General features: G+C 43.9%; 1 protein-coding gene across 8 annotated transcripts in view; it reads left to right on the top strand.

Moving 5' to 3' along the window:
• PDE1C (phosphodiesterase 1C) overlaps window positions 1-20,722 on the top strand; it is an 811,448-nt gene that overhangs the window by 124,262 nt on the left and 666,464 nt on the right. For 5 of the 8 annotated variants that reach the window (XR_001744802.1, XR_001744803.1, XR_007060041.1 and 2 more), the window contains exon 1: window positions 10,500-10,704. The exons of 1 other annotated variant lie outside the window; for it this stretch is intronic. Coding sequence is in view for 4 of the 7 variants with exons in the window: in XM_017012264.1 (XP_016867753.1) it covers window positions 10,515-10,704 (190 nt within the window). In the remaining 3 variants the exon portion in view is untranslated. Of the gene's footprint in view, window positions 1-4,634; window positions 5,313-10,499; window positions 10,705-20,722 lie in introns of those variants that run through there. 2 more of the 8 variants (NM_001191058.4, NM_001322058.2) reach the window with 1 other exon arrangement.

Genomic DNA, 20,722 nt, shown 5'->3' with positions numbered 1-20,722 from the left:
GGCTATGATAAAATTCTCCCCAAACTCTTAATGCAAAACAAGAATTTAATTTACTGTAATTTGCTACATTATGTTATGGGGAGATCTTTGGGGGCCCTTAGCTATTATTTTCTGAGACACTAAAGGCAGGTACTTAAGGATAGTCACTTTCACAGATGCATGAATAATATGTAAACTCAAAAAAAGTTGAATGAACAGGGAGCCAAAGAAAAAAATTGCCCCTTTGTGGAAATAGAATTTGGTAACCTCCATCAGGGCCTTCTGGGTACGTTTTTGGCACCTTTTTTGGGCCCTCAAGTATGTAAGCACACACTTTTTATCTTCCCCGTTTAATTAGATTATCTCTGCCATTCCTGGGTCTAATTTATTTGAGAAACAAAAAAATGGACTATAGGGAAGCAATAAGGTAGAAGTAAAATGAAACAGAGGAGGGTACTGGTGACAGCTGAAGAGGAACTGCATCCAGAAACACAGACTTTCTGTGACTGTTTTCTCATTCTGACACCCAGTTCCAGGGACTGTTCTAAGACTTACTCTTCCTGTAAAAATTCTAAAAGGCAGGGACTGTTTCTTGGTTAGCACAATGCCTAGTATATAGTTGGCACTCAGTAAATGTTAGTTTAATTCCTTCTTTTCTCTCTTCATTTCTTCGTCCTCTGCTTCCCTTCTTGAAGGGAGTCTGTTTGGTAGATTAGCTAGAACTCTTGGTTTCAAGCAATAGCAACTCACATTGGATCACTCACAAAAGGGACTACTGTATAGTATAAGGGTAGTAGGGTATCTTATGGAATTTGGGAGGAGCTGATTTTCAGATACCAGCTGGAACTGGACCTGGAATGAACTGGGACTTTTTCTTTACCTCTCACAATTCCTATTCCCAGAAATGGTATTCATTAGCCCAGTTTGGGTTCTATCAATTACAGCCAAAGGAGCAAGGTTGCAGTTCAGAAACTTCATTGCCTGCAGCCAATGATTATATGAATGGGAAGAGGCCCTTTCTAGAATTTGGAATGGTTGTTAGACAGCTGGATAGGTGTCCATGAGGTGTGTGCACGATGCTCTTATTGGGGCAACTTGGGCCTACAATTCTTGGACTATTGGCTGTTGGGAGAATCCAAATAGTAGGTAGCTTCCTACCTGAGAATGGTTGAAATGCATTAGTGAGATGTTGAGGAGCTGTCTTCTCTCTAGCATGAAAAATAAAAAGATGTTTTCTTAGAAACTATACTTTTTGATACATTCTATATATGTTGTCTTATATTTTTCTAGAACTTTAAAAGTGAAAAACCAATGAGCAACAAGAACTTGCCATTAATATCCTTTCTCTTATATAGAGACATGTAGTAGAATCCACCATCAGATCCACAGAGCAAATCAAAAGACTTGATATTAGCACTAGAGTCAGAGGAGCATCCTGCCAGATTCTTTTTTATATTGTGTCATATACTGTTGTTATATTTGAAGGACATTATTTAATCCTATGAACTGATGTAGGTAATGAGTTCAGCTCCTCCTCTACTTCCTTGCAGTGAAGTCAGGATCACACATTACTTCTTGGAAGAAATTAATCTTAACCTAATTAGTCTTAGCTATTGACTGGATCAAACAATTATTAGGGATCTTCTTCCCTCCTTGTTTCCCTTGTTTGTTAGAATGCACTCTGAGTCCTTCCTTGTTAGAATCCATTCCAGTAGTTAAAAAAGATAAATTTCTTTCCAAACCCAAATGTTAAAGTAAATATAATAAAACTAGAAGTTACCCAAACCCTGACAGATGTAAAGTATGCTTACTATAATTTTAGGAGTCAATAAGCATTTTATGTAAAGGGCCAGATAGTAAATATTTTTGGCTTTGCAGGCCATATGGTCCCAGGCACAGCTACTGAACAATGGCTTTGTAGTGTGAAAGCAGCCAGAAAGAATATGGAAATAAATGAGCATAGCTATGTTCCAATGAAACTTTACTTGTGGATACTAAAATTCAAGTTTCATGTAGTTTTAATGTGTCACAGAATATTATTCTTCTTTTCATCTTTATCAATCACTTAAAAATATAAAAGCTGTTTTTAGCTTGCAGACGCCACAAAAACAGGTGATGGGCCAGATTTCATCTGCAGACATTAATTTGTCAAATCCTGCTCCAACTACCAAAGCAGATGATTGACACATCTGCTTGTCTGTCTTGGTTTAGTTTTCTTACTTCCCAGGCTTTCTTGAGTGAGCGATTCTGAAAGAGCAAACAAAAGCCGTGCTTCTTTTGAGCTCAGTCTTGAACTCATTTTTTCTTGACTTATGTAATGTTAGCATTCAACTTCACTTGGTTTGGTGTGAGAATCCAAAGGCTGAAAAGGCTGCTTTAAGAGTTTGCACTTGAAGCAGTGCGTTTTAGTAGTTCTGTAGGTGTACAGTGTCTAAAACCAGGGAGAGAGATAATGATTCTGGGGAGAAGCAGTTTAAAAACAGTTCTAATTATTCAGACAAGTTATTTTTACCAGACTTTAGGGGACAGAGAAGTGATTGCATTTTTATTATTTTCATAGGTTATATTTCAGAAAGCTTTTCTGTTAAGATGATTAAATACCAAGTTTTAATTTCACTCACTTACGCAAGGAAAAATTTCCATTGCAATAGACTTTTTCTTTTTTCTTTTTTTTGATAATTTACTACAGGAGACTCAGGGCTTTCAGGTTCCTCAGCTGAGGACTTATTTTGGCACAAAAAAGACATGTGCTTCACTTAAAAGCTTGGGAAGATGGGAGAAATACAGGGAAAGGGGAACTATAAGAAACCTTTGGTGGTTACTATATTAAAAAATACATAATATTAAGGTCAGGCATGTGTCTCATTCCTGTAATCCCAACATTTTGGGAGATGGAGGCAGAGGGTGACTTGAGCTCGGGAGTTCGAGACAAGCCTTGGCAACATAGTGAGACCTTGCCTCTACAATTTTTTTTTTAAAGCAGCCAGGTGTGGTGGCGTGTATCTATAGACCCTGCTACTTTGGAGGCTGAAGTGGGAAGATCACTTGAGCCCAAGAGGTCGATGCCACAGTGAGCCATGATTGCACCACTGCACTCCAGCCTGGGCAGCAGAGTGAAACACTGTCTCAAAAACAAACAAACAAAAAACCAAGCCCACATTATATTACATGTAATATATTATATATAAAATGTTACATATAAAAATTCTCTTCACCTATAAAATTAATGGTGGCAACAATAACTAAAATACGTTATTTTTGTCACAGAGAAGAATTTTCCGTGCAGTCTACATAGTAAGATCTGGGAGTCAGCTAGTGATTGCAATAACTGGAAGCATACACTGTGCCTAGGTTTTATGCACTTACTCCTACTTAATCCTTATTGTCAGAGGAGGAAAGTAAGACTCAGGGAGGTCAAGGCCATGTAGCTGGTAAGTGGTGGAGCCAGCTTTCAGACCCAGGTCTATCTGTGAGCAGAGCCATTTTCATGCCTCCAGGTTGTAACAGGTTCCAGGCATGGGTATTACAGTCTCAAGGACTACATGATGATTTTGAAACACCCCTGACTGCATGCTGAAATATGCCATTCTATGTGGCATGAGGTTCATGACACTGTTGGTTGCCTTTGTGATTAATTAATCTCGCTACCAACCTAACCAGACCATGTGAATGTGGTTCTAGGTCTTTCCTGAGAGAATTTATAACTGAAGTGTCAACTACATACACTCTGACACAATTCCATTTCTTTAAAAATACATGGTGAATTGAAAAAGATTAAATTCCTGGGACATGCATTAACCTGGGTTCCAGTAGGCTTGGGGGTTTTAATGGGCCCCCTGAAGTTGTATGTAGAATATTGTACATGTGTGTCTGTGTGTTTTTTTTGGGACAAGGTTTCTAATCTTCATTAGATTCTGAAGATATGTGGAGCCATTACCCTCTAAACTGAACTGGAATCAATTAAGAATATACCTGGTTGATTCTTATTATTGGCAAGTGTTCGTTAATTGTGTCAAATTTCATCACAAAAATGAGGCTAAATTAATTGTAGTCTCACAATAGCTTGAGCACAGAACCCTCATTCCACATTGTTATACCGTGGACTCTTCTGTGTGACTCAGCTCTGGTCTCTTTTCCCGTGGGCATCTGCAGCCCCTGATAGCACTGCAACTGTAAATCCTCAATAATTGCTTGCTGATCGGTGGGAAAAATTTTCCCAGTGTAAGCCTTGCCTAACTCGGTCATTTCAGGCACTGCAAAGGCCAATGGCTAACTTGGCATCGTCATAAAGTGAAACTTCTGCCTCCAAAGTCCGCCACTTCCTTGTGTAGCACTTTTCTCAAGCCCCATGCAGCCTCAGTTTCCTCCCCTGTAATAAGAGCGTCAGCTATGGGATTGGTAAGATATCTTCCACATCAGCAAATTCCAGGAGTCTATCACATTGGGCAAACCCAAATTCGAAAGGACAGGACAAGCTATTTGGAATGGTTGGTAAGGGGCGAGTTCTAATTCGATTGTACATTTCACATCATAGAGCCTCCGGTGACTTTGACAATTACCTTCCTGGCAGGGACAGTGGAGAAGAAACACTATCGGGGCTCCAGGCCAGTGCTGGGGGCAGTGGCTAGAAGGAAGTGGGCGTGGCGATTTTCCCGACTTCCTTGTTTGGAGTAAACTTCGGCAACATCTCATGGCTGAGGGGTTTGCCTTTCCATCTGTTGATGTGCTTTCTGGAAGCTCCCCGGTCTGCCAGAGAAAACATATCTAGAAGACGCACGACGCCAATTCAGCCATTCCCTTGGGTCCCCAAATCCCCCCAGCCACCAGAGACGGAAGGAGAAGGTGAAGTAGAAAACAGACTTTCCTGTGGCGCGCGGGATCCGCGGCTGACAGAGAGTAGCGTGGCCAGGCAGGGATCTCCGCGCCCACCGGTCAGCCCCGTCCACGCGCTCGGGCGCGCGTCCTCCCTTCCTGACACTCCTCTCGCCGCCTCTGGAACTCGGCTTGGAGATGGGGCAGTCGCGACGGCTCCTGCCTCCGCCGAGCTCCTAGCGCTTTAGCTGTTGACATTGGGTCCCCGCTGTTGTCTCCAGGCGCTCAGCTGCCAGCGCGCGGCGGGGCTGAGAGTGACAGCGCGGCGCGGCCGGGGGAGGATTCGCCGCCGAGCCCCGGGCTGCTCACTCCGCCGTGGGGGGGACCGCAGACGCCGCTGGTCTCGCTGCGAGGCCCCTGCCCGGCCGGCCGAGCCATGACGGACGCCGGCAACAGGAAGGAGGGCTTCAAAAAATGCCGGAGCGCCACTTTCAGCATCGATGGCTACAGCTTCACCATAGGTGAGAACTTTCCACCCCTCTCGGACTCCTGGCTCGGGCAAACGCCCTCTCCGGTGGCGGTCAGAGTTCCTTTCTAAGCGGGCAGGGGGAGCTCAGGGGTCGGGCTGGGGCCGGAGGGTGCTCTCCGGGCGGGAGCCCCCGGGAGCGGCGACTGGGTCGGGACAGAAGCCGCACCCTGGGCTGTCCCCCCCGGCACCCCTCGCGGGCTCCGACCCGGCGTCGCGCGGAAGCTGGTTTTCAGCATCACACCTCCCCGAACTGCTCGGTTTCCTGGCTGCGATTTTAATAAGGCAGGCCGGGGGAAAGGAGGGGTGGAAATAGGGCTGGAGACGCTGCGATGGAGAGATGAAGATAGTGCCGAGAGAGGGAGACAGAAAGCGACAGGAAGATGTGGACATGATAGAGACACACAGACAGAGCGGCAGGAACATCCAGACACGGGGACACTGATAGAAACACCTAGGCCCCAGAGATAGAGGCGGACGTCAAGACAGACTAATAGAGTGACAAAGACGTGGAGACAGTGACTGAAACAAGAGAGGAGAGGCTGAGAGAGACAGAGACCGGGGAATTCAGAGAGAGAGGGGAGAGAGAGAGAGAGAGAGAGAGAGAGAGAGAGAGAGAGAGAGAGAGGGAGAGAGAGAGAGAGAGAGGAGAGAGAGAGAGAGAGAGAGAGAGAGAGAGAGAGAGAGAGATTGAACAATAGTTTCTATAAAAGTTGAAACAAAGGAAAAGGGACACATGAAGAGAGAGAAGAGAACAGAGAGATTCAGAAAAATAAAGCAGAAAAAGAGGCCAATTCAGTCTGAGAGAGAGGCCGCAGGGAGGGGGGATCATATGTCATGCTACCCAAAGTATTTGAGAAAAAGCTGTGGTGTCTCTGAGCTGCAGGTGGTGTTTCCCTCTCCTGCCCTTGGGACTCCCAGTGGCTCCTGTTTTCTTTCCCCCAAAACCCTTCACCAAGAGGGGGACCAGAGGGGGTTTTGGGGACCTTCAGGGAGCAGCAGGACCACAGGGTTGACCCTCTGGAGGCCTAGCATTTGAAGAGGTGGGTGCTTGATACTTCTACCTTCCGCCCCATGCTGTGACTGTTTTGAAACTACTTGTGAGGGATTGCCTCCACATCTTCCTTGGAGGTGAGTAGAACCCAAGTCTCAGGTGGAGCCCTGGAGGCCTGCTTTTTGGGACGTCAGCCTTTGGAGAACAGCAGGATAGAGGCAGGAGCCACTCTGATTCCTACTTTTGGAAGTACTCAAGTACTTCCAAAAGTACTGTGGTCTTAATCTGAACTGAACCCCAAAGATTTTGAAAATGAGGGGGTAGATTATTTTGCTTTTTGTGGGCTGTGTCTGCTTGGATGTGTATCAGGAAAGTACTAGGGCCAAGAAGAGACCAAGAAAAGGAGCTCATCTCAGGGCCTCTTTTGTTCTCAATAAAGTAGCCCAAGGTTTCTGGGGCATGGACTGAACACTTGCCCTTCTCCAAACGTACCAAATCCTACCCATCTGAGCCTTTGCCTAGGCTGTTCCTGCAGGCAGGAAAGCCATTCCCTCAACACAGCATTGAGAAATCTTGTCTATGCTTTAGATCCCAGCTTTCACTTTCCACGTCTTCCACTCTCCATCCCCATCAGAAAGAATTTCTCCCTTGGCAATCCCTCCAGTCCCTGAGTTCTCCGTTGGAGCTCACACCCTGCCTTGAATCAGTTATTTAGGCACCTGTTGGTAGTCCTCATTGTATTAAAAATTCCTTAAGGATGAGACTGCTTATGTATCTTTCCCTGTCAAATGGTGTTGGTGGGTGCTAAGGGAGTGCTTGTAGAAAAGAATTAAAGGTTGCCAAAGTCAAAAGTATTTCATTAATAGATCATTGTCATGTTAAATTGGTTTTCTTGACTCTGGTAAGAAAATTCTCAAAAGTTATACCAGGTTGTCCTTATGAGATCTTATCCTTCAAAGTGTGGCTTTCTAAAATCCAGGATCATAGTGTGGTCCTCCTCTTCCTGACATTTTCCCTTTCTGTTAGAAGAGTTGGTCTAGCAGATTGGTATGGTCTGGTGGTCAGAAGAGACTCTAAAAATGAGCTGGTCGCTTCCAAGTGAGATAGCTGCCAACTTATTTCAGATTGCTGAGAATTTATTCATTCACTTCTTTCTACTTATTCTTCTTCCCTCCCCCTTTCCACATTTATTCAATTTTACTATACTAAGAGATACAATTTAGCACAATGCCTGCCACACGGCAAACATTCAATAAATGGTAATTGTAATTATTCAAGGCACTAAGCTAATATCATGGGGAGTTTATGAAGATAAATCAGACTTAGAATCTGTGTTCAAGGAATTTGTATTCTTGGGGCAATGTGATATGTTCATACATAACCATTTTAAAAAGCAGAAATTAGTAAGTTGCTAGAGAGGCATTTAAGAAATTTTAGGCCAAGTTTAGAAAATACAATAATAAAAAAGGAAGAAAGAAAATCAACTGTCATTTTATCATCCAATGCTAAATATTAATATTTCTTGTATGTACTTCTAATATGTACATTGTTTTTACAAAATGAAATCAGAATGTTTGAAAAATGTGTTATTTAAAAAACCCTTAGTTTTGTTTCATGCTATATATAAAGTATTTAAAAAATCAACTTCCTATTGTTGGCTATTTAGGTTGCTTTTAATTTTCACCATGATAAACAGTGATAAAAAACTAAATCTTTGAGTATATCATAAGTACATTTTTTTTTTTTTTTTTTTTTTTTGAGACAGAGTCTCGCTCTCTCACCCGGGCTGGAGTGCAGTGACCCGATCTCAGCTCACTGCAAGCTCCGCCTCCCGCGTTCACACCATTCTCCTGCCTCAGCCTCCGGAGTAGCTGGGACTACAGGCGCCCGCCAACACGCCCTGCTAATTTTTTTTTGTATTTTTAGTAGAGGTGGGGTTTCAGTGTGTTAGCCAGGATGGTCTCAATCTCCTGACCTCATGATCCACCCACCTCGGTCTCCCAAAGTGTTGGGATTACAGGCGTGAGCCACTGCGCCTGACCCATGAGTACTTCTTAAAGAGAAACTTCTAGTAGCTTAATTGCTTAGTCTAAGAGTATGAACATTTTTAGGAACTTTAAAACGTATTGCTCAACTGCCTTCTGAAAAGATTTACCAGCTTCTACTCCCACCAGCAATGTTTCGACAGCTCTGAAAAGTAGCTGTTATGACCCCTGTTTTAGGAGAAGAAACTCCCAAGACTCCAGAGGAAATAATTTGCCAGAAGGCACACAGCTAGGTGGCAGAGTTGGATTCAAACCACATCTGCCCTGACCCGTCAGCCCGGGTTTGTCCCACACATCATGCTGCCTCCCACAGTGGACTTTACTTCTGCTGGAGCCTCGGTACTAGCCCATCATTCTGCAGCAGAGGGATCTGGGAGTTTGTTAACTCTGCTTAACCAGCCAAGGCTGGAGCAAAACCAGAAAGAGATGAGACCATTGCTGCATGTGGGACAGGGTGGGGTTGCTGCTCCCTGGAGGAAGATCAGGTAGAAGAAACAAGGTTAGTTAATCTGCCTCACTGGGCTCCCTCAGTCCCATGCTTCCCTGTCCCAGGGCAAATTATTTTGCATCCTCTTTATGTAATTTTCTCAGGTCATGAAATGGGTATGTGGTCAAAAGGTCTTGGAAACAAGACTAAGATTGAACACATGTCACATTCAGAAGTGCTGACTTTGAAAGCGCCTTGATGCTTTGAGAGTTCCATCCCTGGGAAACCATTGAACTTATTATGATTGCGGCAAGTAATTATCCTGATGACATAATTGAAGGCCATATGTGGAAGTGCAAGTGTAAATTGACTCTGGTGAGGTAGTACTTGTGAAGGAGCATTTGCATATGAAGTGAATGATTGGGATGCGTAGGTGCAGTACCTTGTATTTCAGAAGAACTTTCCTTCTGGAGTTTGGATGTCTATTTGGGTTTGTATTAAGTCATTCACAGATTCTTGCTCTCTCCAGAAGGCTGCCTGAAATACAAACAAACACCTCCCCCTCAAAGTGATGTATGTCTGCCAAAAACAAAAGCACATTTTTTCTTTTAAATCACCTGAGTGGGCCCCACTTGATCTCTTTTGATGCTCCTCCCTGTTCATTTTACAGATGAGAAAATGGGGCTGAGGGAGGGCCCATCATTTCCCTCCTGCCCTCAGTGATGACCTGCATGGTGTCAGAAGGAGGTGGGTGAAACCAGAGACTCAGAGGGATGTGAAGTTAGCGGAGTGAATGTCAAAGAAGCTGCTTCCTTCAAAAATGAACCTATTGGTGTTGTGGAAAATTCTAGGCCTGTACTGAAGAGGTGTTGCTAACAGAGATGTGTTTCCTGTAGCAACAGCCACTGGCTTTTCTGCCTTGTGTTTCCCTCCTTGGGTTGTACCAGAGGAGGAAAAACAAGAAGCCCCTAGACAGCAATCGGAGGCTTGAGGGGCTGGGAGTGGGGGTTCCCTGACCTACCCTTGGACAGCAGGGGACGGAGGCTAAGCTGAAGGGAGGAGGTTTGCTCCTGGATGCTCCTCTCAGAGGGGATCTGGGCAGGCAGGGCTCGGTGGGTGGCTGAGGTCTGATTGAATTGGCTGCATACACTGGGGGTGTGGCCCACTCTCCAGCCCTGGCAGAGAGGCCCCCGGCCTCCCCTGGGGCATATGGTTGACGACTTTCTGAGCCCAGACTGGTCTCTGTGCTCTCTCAGCTGAGTGTTTTGTCTGCCTTCCATCTGCCTGCTTAGACAAGCAGGCAGTCTGGGTGGAAACAAGAACTTTGGAGCTTTTACACCTGGTTGGGAGTGATGGCAGGGAGCAAAGAACCCAGTAAGGATTCCAGGTAAAATATTCTATGGCCTCCTCCCAGTGCTCATGGACCTACTTCTCTCCCTCAGTCGTATCTCAGAGTCAGTCAGGTGCGGCAGGGTGTGGGAAGAGGAGTCTGCAAACGGAGGCTTGCAGTCTCTGCTCTGCTGTTCATCCTCTTCCATTCTGCACCATGGGCAAATCACATTATCTCTGAGCCTCTGTTTCCTCACATGTAAAATGGGGAGTAAGATCCTTAGGTTATGGCAGTATGGTGAGGATCGAGTGAAGGTATGCATGAAACAACTGCGCTGTTAACTCTAAAATGCCCTCCAAATGCTGTTATTAGGGAAAGTTAATGCTGGTTAAAACCGGTGTATGCCACTTCACAGCATTTGCACTTCGACCGAGAGCAGCCCTGTCTTTTGCCTGAGGAGCTCTCACAATGGAGTTGCCATTGTCAGCAAACAATTAGAGTGCCCGCTTTTAGGGGGCCAGCTGAGAGGTTGTATTTGCTGTGGGAAACCCTGGGCTTTGGAGTCACACGCAGATTTATCATGCCCATTAGGTGAGCCATTTAGCTTCCCTCAGCCTCAATTTTCTTCTCTGAATAAATGGAGGTGGTAACACCTTCCTTGTGGGTGAACATGGCCAGGGGAATGAAGGGCCATGCACAGTGCCTGGCTGTCACCCTGTGGGTGTCTGTTCAATGTCCCTTCCCTTTGCCTGAAATCATACTGTGAGTAGAGCTGGTGCTGGCTGGGAGTGGGTGAGCATCAGTGGTGTGATCCCCAGGGTTTGTGGCTGCACTCTGTGGGTGGGCAGCCAGGATGCCCTGTACAACTGTGCTGGCCCCTGACACCAGATGAGAGTAAGAGTCAAGTGGGTACTGGGCACACTGCTGCCCTCCTATAGGCTGATGCACTTTCCGGAGCCACACAGTGTGCCTGGCGTGTCCACTCAGCCTCCACAGACCTGGACAGGGTCCACCTGGGGCCATGGGGAAGTTGGGAGTGGTGGAGAGAATAGTAATGAAGGAATGACGGTCCTGAGCTGGGCTTCGGGATTGGCTTGGAACACAGCAGGAGGAGGGGACCAGGATGGGTAAATTGCACTGAGTAGAGTCCAGAATATAACAGTCTCTGGAGTCAGACACTTGTGGTTCAAATCTAGAACCCCATCTTCCTTTTGCTGTGATCTTAGAGAGGTGGCATTTCATGGCTAATGTTAAGACTCCTAAGCTGTAAAATGGACATAATAAATAGTGTCTACCATGCTAGAGTAGCAGATCAAATGGGATAGTGCAACTAGAACACTTACTAGGGCTGATTTATCCACTGGGTACAGTAAGCATAGTGATCAGACTGCAATATTTTTAGGATTCTGAAAATATTTTAATTTCTTTTATAATTGAAAGAAAAAATAAACTTTTAGATTGAATAAAATATTTTACTTCATAGAGTTTTAGTCAAGCTCTAAAGATCTGCAGTACAATGTCGTACACCTAAAAATTTGCTTAGAGGGTAGATCTCATGTTAAGTGTTCTTACCTCAACAAATAATAAAAAAGTTAAGAAAACTTAACATTATTATATTCTTCATTTCAATGTAGTCCTAAAATATATTTTAAATTTTTAAAAATTATTTTTTTATGGAGGAAGGGAACCACAAAAGCAAAAGTTTCTAGGGCCCATGAAAGTCATAATGAAACTGTAGCTTCTAGCACAGGGCCTGGCACAGTCAAGACATTCAAAATTGTGAACTATTATTATTGGTAGGTTAATAAATATTTGCTGAACATAACACTGAAGTAGACATTGTAGAAGGGCGGGGGAACCACAGAGGAGAAAAGCACAGACTATTAGAAAACACATACTGGACTCAGAGATGGGGTTAGCACCTTACTAACTTGCTCTTTGATCCCGGGTAAGTCACTTAACCTGGGCCACAATTTCTCCATCTGTAAACAAACTGGTTAAGTAAGGAAATCTCTGCGATTCCTGCCCCTCCCGGAAGAGGTGAGCTTCAAGTCTTGACCCTGGCCTTCTCAGAGTAGGTGAGATGCTGGGGAATGGCTAAGTGAGGTACACTGGGGATTTGTGATGGATGCTTTGTAGAGTTCAGACCAAAGAGGAGGCAAACTGCGTGCAGGACTAGTTAAGAACTCAGAGGTGAAATTATTCATGAAGTAAGCATACTAGGCTTTGTGTATACAGCATTGTACAGTTTTCTTACTTATAGTGACGTTTAATAACCACTGAGCTAAACTCAAGAAAGGACCAAAGGCAAGTCCATGTGTAGCTGCTTGGGCATTCCAGCTATTTCACCTATATGCTAACTATCAGATTCCAGTGGGAAATGGGGACTAGCTGGAGATTTCCAAGTGTTTCTGAGTGCCTGCAGGGCTAGCTCCATTCTGATGTGATATGAAACCTTTTTGGCTTCAATTCATGCTGCTATATTTGTTAGAAAGAATAAATGTAAGAATGAATAACAAATTAATAATAGATACAGAAGCATCTAACCTGGATCCTGCTTGATAAATGCTTGTTGGATTTGAGAGACAGTCTGTGCAGAGGTTAAGAGTTGGATTCTGGAGTTTGACTGCCTTGGTTGAATTTTGGCTTCACAGTTTATTAGCTGTGTAATTTTGGACAAGTTACTTAACTTTTCTGTATTTCAATGTGCTCATCTGTTAAATGTAGACAATTATATTACCTACCTCCTAGGGTGTTAGAGGAGTTAATACACATCAAGCACTCAGAATAGCACCTGGTACAAAGTAAGTTCTACGTAAATGTTTTTATTATTATATATTTATAGTTTATATCCATTATAAGATATTTTCATAATATTATTAACTTGAAAATAATAATAACCAACTCTGAGTCCTGCTTGATCAAATCACCATATATACTGTTGTTTGAAAAACTGTAAGGATGACTTTGTCTTCTGCTTTCTGTTGTTCAAAATTGGCATTTTTCATGTGCTTCACTTTTGTGTCTTTGGGTAATGATCTCTTGATACTTTATGGTTGTTCTTCATGGATCCATGTGTTCCCATTTCCTCAGCAGGTTAACATCTTTCAGGATTTACTGTGTCACTTGTGATGGTTTTGCAAAGCGAGTCCCTAGCTGCCAGGCCCTTGTTAGAATGTTAGCTCTCCTAGGCCAGGATGCCAGGTGGAAAGGCAAGTGATACAGAAGACCTGGGCTCTAGACCCAGTTCTGGCACTTCCTATCTCTGTGGCTGGGGGAATGATCATTCACCTCTGTGACCCCTGAGGCCCTCATTAGTAAATGGGGATAGCGATTCCTTCTTTGTTGCGTTGTTGGGAGGGTTCAAGAGGTTGAGGAATGTAAGAACCCAGTGTGCTCTAGGTGCCTGTTAATTGGTAGCTGTTGGTTGTGATGATGGAGGGATTCTGAAATCAGGGTGTGGGCAAGACTTCCAGACCCACAGCTGCTTCCCTGGACTGTGCTCACCCGCCTGCTCCTGGCTGCCTCTGCCAACCCTCCACCAGCCACTTATGTAGCATTCTGGCACGGCTGCAAGTCTGTCTTTGTTTTAGGGTAGGATTTCTGACCAGGCCAGGGATCTGGAGTGCCTGTCTCAGCCAAGCCGGGTGCTTCCAGCTGGGTTGGGGTAATTGGTGCCAGCTGCTTTGGGGAGAGCTGGTTGGCACTTCCTGTGCTGCTGGCAGACAGGCACTGGAGTGTGTTGGGACCTTGGCCTGAGAACCAGGCCTTCCCCAGGGGACCCTGGGCAGGCTTGGAGGCAGAGTTGCTAGAAGTTGATTTTCACTTGGTGGAAGGCAGTGTCTTCTGGACAAGGGTCCAAAGCACCCAAGACTCTGCCCTGGAGTATTAGGTCACAGGTACTGCTGCCAGAGTTTGAGAAGAAACCACATTGCAGGAATTGATTTGCTGACTTTCTCTCTGCTTCCCCAAATGGCTGTGCTGCTTCTCTTTGTGGTAACTTCATAGAGTGGCTCAGGTGCGATTCCACGGGCTTGGGGAGGAGAAAAGGAGAAGAAACCCCTTCTGGACTTGCATGGACTAGTAACCACCAGCATTATAGATAGTCTAATTCAGCATTCACAAGCTGAAATTAGACAGATGGAGAAGTGACTTGCTCAAGGTCAAAGTAATAAGTAAGGGTTTCATTGCAGTTCAACTACAGGGCTCTTTCCTGGCTTAATTTTTTTTTTGGTTTTGCTGTGTTGGAACTGCTGAATTACATATTTCATTTCTCAGAAATATTGGCTTTTAGAGATTATCTCAATAAAATTTTTGTAGTGTATATGGTGGAGAGAATATTCCTTCTTTATCTTTGGACAAAACAAAATGTGAATTGATAAGTTGTTATGTTCACCATTTATGAAATAGCTGACCACTTATTTATTTAGTTAGCTTTTAGAGACAGAGTCTTGCTTTGTCACTTAGGCTGGAGTGCAATGGTACGATCACGGTTCACCACAGCCTTGGCCTCCTGGGCTCAAGCGATCCCCCTGCCTCAGCCTGCCTCTGAGTAGCTGGGACTACAGGTGTGCACCACCATGCCCAGCTAACTTATTTTTATTATTTCTAGAGATGGGCTCTCACTATGTTGCTCAGGCTGGTCTTCAACTCGTGGGCTCAAGCGATCCTTCTGCTTTGCCCTCCCAAAGTGTTGGGATTACAGGCATGAGCCACTGTGCCTGGCCTCTGACCTCTTTTTTTACCTTTCTGAATCTTGTTTGTTAATTTTGTAAAGTAGGAATAATAATATCTACATATGATGTGACATATGTAAAGTTCTAGCCCAGTAATGACAATTGCAGGTGCTTATAAAAATATTGAAAAATACTGACTCCTTCCCCTTCCCTTTTCTTCTTCCTAGTTCATGCCAAACCTGAAGGTATTTCTGCTGGCTTAGATGTTTGCCTAGTCATCACAAATAGGGGAACCCTCCAGCCCTTTGGAAGTTTCATCTCTCTGAGAGGCCCCAAGAGAAAGCTGGCATTGTTTTTCTCTGACTTTGGGCCCAGGGAACACACATTAACGCCATAGGATTTAAGCAGTGAGTGGGAAAGTGAATGGAATTCTTTTTTAAAGTAATTAGTTTACAGTTTCTCAGAAAGGTCCACTGTATCTAGTGACTCACCTTAAACAGTTGGAAACTACTTTAGCTTTTCAAATTGTATCGAGTCAGTTAATATTGGAGAGGAATCAGTCATCTCTTAAAGAGGGAACCAGCAGCACTTGAGCCAGACTAGATCCCAACCATCTGCTGGGCCCCACAGAAACCCAGTTTTCCAACAGGATGCATTTTCTTTCTTTCTCATCTGGGTCATTCATGAGGCCAACCGTTTAAGACAGTGAAAAGTGTTTAAAAGGTGCAGAATTTAGTCCAGTTGTGTAAGACTGTAAGCCTGGTCTTAGTGACTATTTCAAGGAGGCTATTTTTTGGGGTAATTATGCAAACTATTGCCCCCATGTTGCTGATGATAATGAGAGGCTTTACTATTGGTAAAGCACTTTCCCAAACATCAGCTCATTTGATGCTACCAATTCCCCTGAAAAAGATCTATGAGCAGCTCCATTTTACAGGTGGAGAAACTGCTACTCCAAGAAGTCGGAGTGACTCGTTTCAGAACCATGACTCCAATCTAGTTTCTACATTTTGTTTTTTTAAGACGGAGTCTCACTCTGTTGCCCACGCTGGAGTGCAGTGGCATAATCTCAGCTCACTTCAACCTCTGCCTTCCGGGTTCAAGTGATTCTCCTGCCTCAGCCTCCCAAGTAGCTGGGAGATGGGGTTTCACCATGTTAGCCAGGCTGGTCTCGAACCCCTGACCTCAAGTGATCTGCCTGCCTAGGCCTCCTAAAGTGTTGGGATTACAGGTGTGAGGCACTGCGCCCAGCCAGTTTCTACATTTTTGAAAGCTTGGGCATCTGAACTAGAAACCTGGGAACCATTGTAGATTCCTTTTCCTGTGCAGATTCCTACCCTCACGTCATCTAATTAGTATTTAAAGTCTGTAGGCTTTTTGATCCTGCTGCCCTTCCATTTAAAACCCAGGAGGGAGATTCCCATTGCATGCAGGATCAAGCCCACATTCCCAGGTAGGACCCATGGGCCTTCCATGACCTGGCCTTTGCTTTTCTCTGGACCCGTACTTTGCAGTGCCCTGCCTGCGCATGGGTCGTAACCACTCACTTAGCCTGTCTTTATGGAGTGCATTCTTTATGGCAGCGATTGTGTTAGGCACTAGGAATACTATGTGAGCAAACAAGCCAGCCCTGATGACATGGTGATGACAGCCTAGTGGGGCCCACAGACATTGGTATAACTGTGCTTAGTCCTCTGATGGCAAGGCCAGGGTGCTGTGGTCATGCCCAGCAGGGGTATCTAATTTGTCTGGGGATTGGGATGGGCTTCCCTGGTGAAGGGTGTTGGGGAGGCGATGGGAGAGCCTCCAGGTGGATCAGGCAGCCTGTGCAGAGGCCCTGTGGCTGGAGGGAGGAGATGGGCTATTGAGGGCTGTGAGAGCATTAAGAAGAGGCTGGAGAGGTGATTATATGAGGTCTTACAGGCCCACTGGAGGATTTTGGTTTTTTTCTCCAAGAGCAGTGGAAGGCAGTTTGGTCATTTTAGGGAGAGGGGACAAGATCAGATTTCTGTTTATAAACACACACTCTGGCTATGCTGTGGAGAATCAGTTGTTGAGTATTTGCTGAATGTTCTTGCTATTATGTGTTAATAATAACTAGCCATTTCTGTGTGGCCTGCATTCTTCCTCTCTATCTGGGCCTTCCTGTAGCCTTCTGGGTATTAGTTCTCTCTTTCAAACAAACCAGGCAAACTTTTAGGCTGCCAGAGCAGTAGGTGGTCCTTGGGGGCTGGAGGCTGTCTTAATTTTCCTAATTACTTAATTCATTTTTTAACAAAATGAAGATAGCATTATTAATTTTATTTGCCTATAAAAACGATCCATATTCATTTTAGGCACTCAGGAAAGAAAACCTCATTATCCAGAGATGACCTCTGTTAATATCCTATCCTTGGTCCACATACTATTCTATTGCAGTTCTATTTAAATGGGATCATACATGTTGTTCTAGTACCTGCTTTTAAAACTTAATTGTATATATGGATATTTTAAATTAGTCAGCTCTCTTGGTCTCTCTAACTTAGTGCCTAGGCTCTCTTTTGTGTTTGTATCAGCTTCCCTAATCCTGAATGCCCCATGAGGCAGGTGAAACTTTTCTGAGTATTTTACAGCATGGCCTATTTTGGCAGAGGTGTCTCACCAATTATATGCACACATATTTTATATACAAACACACACCCCTTCCACACACCATGTATACTACTATTTTCTTTGTAGTTGAGTGTTTGCTGTATGCCAAATGCTCTTCTAAGGGCTTTGTAAGCACTAGCTCATTTAATTTCTCATTTTCGGATGAGGAAACTAACGCACTAATCCAGGGAAGTGGAGAGATCTGGATTTGAATCTGACACTACATTGGTTATCTGAGAGCTTGATTATGCATGGGACATGTCAGAGGGAGTGCCCTTCTTACACCTGTGGGACATATCTTCAGTAAAAATCCAAAGCACTTTTGGGACATCTATCATCTCCTCTTAACATCCCAATGAGAGAGTTTATGACTTTATAAGCGGGAAACTGAGTATTAAGTTCTTAGAGCTAGAATGTTTCTTACAGTGTGTTTCAACAGAAAGCTCAAACAACCGCTCATTCCTTCCTACATTTTCTTACAAACATTAGTTAGTGCCTACTGACCTCCCTGCAAGTATAGGAAGATATTAAATAATTTTCTCATCCTTGAAAAGCATGTGGGCTTGTGGGGAGACTGACACTGAGAAGTAACATGCTGAGGCCAAGTGCTGTTTGAGAGATTTATAAAGGATGAAGATAATGCAGGGGGAGGGGTTGGCAAACGCTTGGACTTAGTTTTTTCCACTCTTGTTTTATCTTTCCCTCCCTTCCCCTCCCCTTATTCTCTCTCCTCTCCTCTCCTCTCTTCCCCTCCCCTCCCCTCCACTCCCTTCCTCTCTCCCCCCTCTCTTCTCTTCTCCCCAGTACCACTCCCTTCCCTTCCCCTCTCCTCCCCTCTCTCCTTCTTTCTTCTTCTTCTCCCTTCCTTCCTGTTCCTTTTCTCCCTTTCTTTTCCCTTTCTTCAGCTTTATTGAGGTGTAATCTACATATCATAAAATTTACCCATTTTAAGAGTACAATTCAACAAGTTTTAGTGAGTTTACAGTTATGCAATCATCACCATGTATAAGTACTTCATTCTATTTTATTTTGAATAATATTCCATTATGTGAACATATACATTTGTTTATCCATTAACTAATTGTTGGACACAGGTTGTTTCCAGTTTTTGGTTATTATGAATAATGCTGCTATAAATATTTACATACATGTCTTTGTGTGGACATATGTTTTAAGTCTCTTGGGTAGGTTCCTAGGAGTGGGATTGTTGGGTTGTATGGTAAATTATTGTATAACATTTAGGGAACTGCCAAACTTTTCCAAAGTGTCTGCGCCATTTTATGATTCCACCAGTGATGTATGAAAGTTTTCGAATGGAGTTTTAAAGAAGAGGAATCAGCCACGTCAGTGGTTCTCAAACGCTGCAGCAACAGGGCTGGCTGCATAAAAACCAAATGGAGAGTTTGTTAAGGATTTCTGGGCTCCATGCTCCGAAGATTCCAATTCCATAATTGTGGGTTGGACCTGGCAAGTGCATTTTTTTCTTTTTTTCTTTTTTCTTTTTTTTTTTTTTGAGACAGAGTCTCGCTCTGTCGCCCAGGCTGGAGTGCAGTGGCACGATCTCTGCTCACTGCAACTTCTGCCTCCCAGGTTCAAGTGATTCTCCCACCTCAGCCTCCCAAGTAGCTGGGATTACAGGCACCCACCATCATGCCTGGCTAATTTTTGTATTTTTGTAGAGACGGGTTTCACCATGTTGGCCAGTTGGTCTTGAACTCTTGACCTCAGGTGATCTGCCCGCTTCAGCCTCCCAAAGTGCTGGGATTACAGGCGTGAGCCACTGTGCCCAGCCTGGCATGTGCATTTTTAGAAAGGTCTCTAAGTGATTCTGCTGTGTGCCTTGTTTAGGAATCACAGAGATGGATGAGGTTGGGGATGGGATGGACAGGGGAGAAATTCTGGGAACATTCTAGACAGAGAAAACACCATGTATAAGAGTAGTGTGATATGTGAGGATGATAATAGCAGTAGGTGTGGCAAGAGAGAGGGCAGTTAGGAGACTCTTGCATTGGTCAAGACTTAATAAAGAAGCAATTAATTCATTGACATTTCTGTGTAGTTTTCTGTGAAACTTTTCAAGGGGAACTAACTTTATTTGGAATACTAGGTACTAGGCTAAGAGTTTTATGCTTAATTTTCCAACTCTTTTGACTCATTATTATTCTCAGTTTATAGGTGAGGAAACAGAGGCTTAGGAGGTTAAGTAGTAGAGCTGGGACTTGACACCAGTTCTGTCTGGCTCCTTCCACCATAGCAGTTTGCCCCTATTCTATGCAGAGCACCAGTGCTAGTGCCATGTGAATAGGGTCTTGGGATTTCATATTCATTGTAGGAGAATTCATTATGCATATTTTGCAATTGATTCTCTGGCTTGCTGTGCAGTCAGTCCTATTTGCCCTTCTTTTCTATGGGTTACGGGTGTATTAGATTTTCTCTAATGGAAATTACAATATTTAAATGTTCTAGGAGGATGCAAAATAAGATACCTTAGTTAAACACCTTGAGGCTCTAGTCTTTGTTGGTGTTAATAAATGTCCTCGGGATGCTTCTTCCCGCCCTGGTCCCTGTTGATCAAGGTAGTATTTACTGACTGCACCAAAACTTGACCCTGGTCCTCTGGTCGCAGTCAGTCTGAGCGCTACAGAAATGGAAGATTAAAGCCCTCTGTGAATCAGGCATTGGAGTTCTGCGGTATGGCTGTTTTCAAATTTGGATGCGTGATGAAGGGAAACTTGTAGTAATTACTGAACAGATGCCCTTAATGAGGTCTCTGCTGGATTTCCAGCTGGCAGCAAAGCTCTGCATTGGGACGGGACCGTTGAAGTCACTGGATCATTATGTGACATCACATCCTCCTCTTGTTGTCATAGCAGCTGTAATCATCCCACTGAAAGTGTCCCTCAGGGTGATGGCAAGCCACATCTTTCTTTTAATGTGGATCCATGGTGCTTTCTTTCATGCTAAGGAGAAAAAGAACTGGCATGCCAATGCTCTTCAAAAAGAGAAAAAGCTTAATTTCAGCATGCTATTACTACCATTGTTACTATTTTAACAATTATTATGCAAGTTAAACATATGATTGTGGAAAAATTTATAAAATAGGGATTGGCAAAGAGAACACAAAAATCCTACCTGTCATACCAACATGTAGACAGAACCACTATTAACATTTTGGTGAATATCTTCCCTGAACAAAAAAAAAGTTGTTTTTGCTTAATGAATGTACATTTATTACTATTTTTTCAAATATGGGACCATTACTGTATTGTAGTTTATTTTTCCCATCTAACAATGTATAATTA

This window comes from Homo sapiens, chromosome 7 (genome assembly GCF_000001405.40).
Source record: "Homo sapiens chromosome 7, GRCh38.p14 Primary Assembly".
NCBI classification, from domain to species: domain Eukaryota; kingdom Metazoa; phylum Chordata; class Mammalia; order Primates; family Hominidae; genus Homo; species Homo sapiens.
This window is presented reverse-complemented; position numbering and strand designations above follow the sequence as displayed.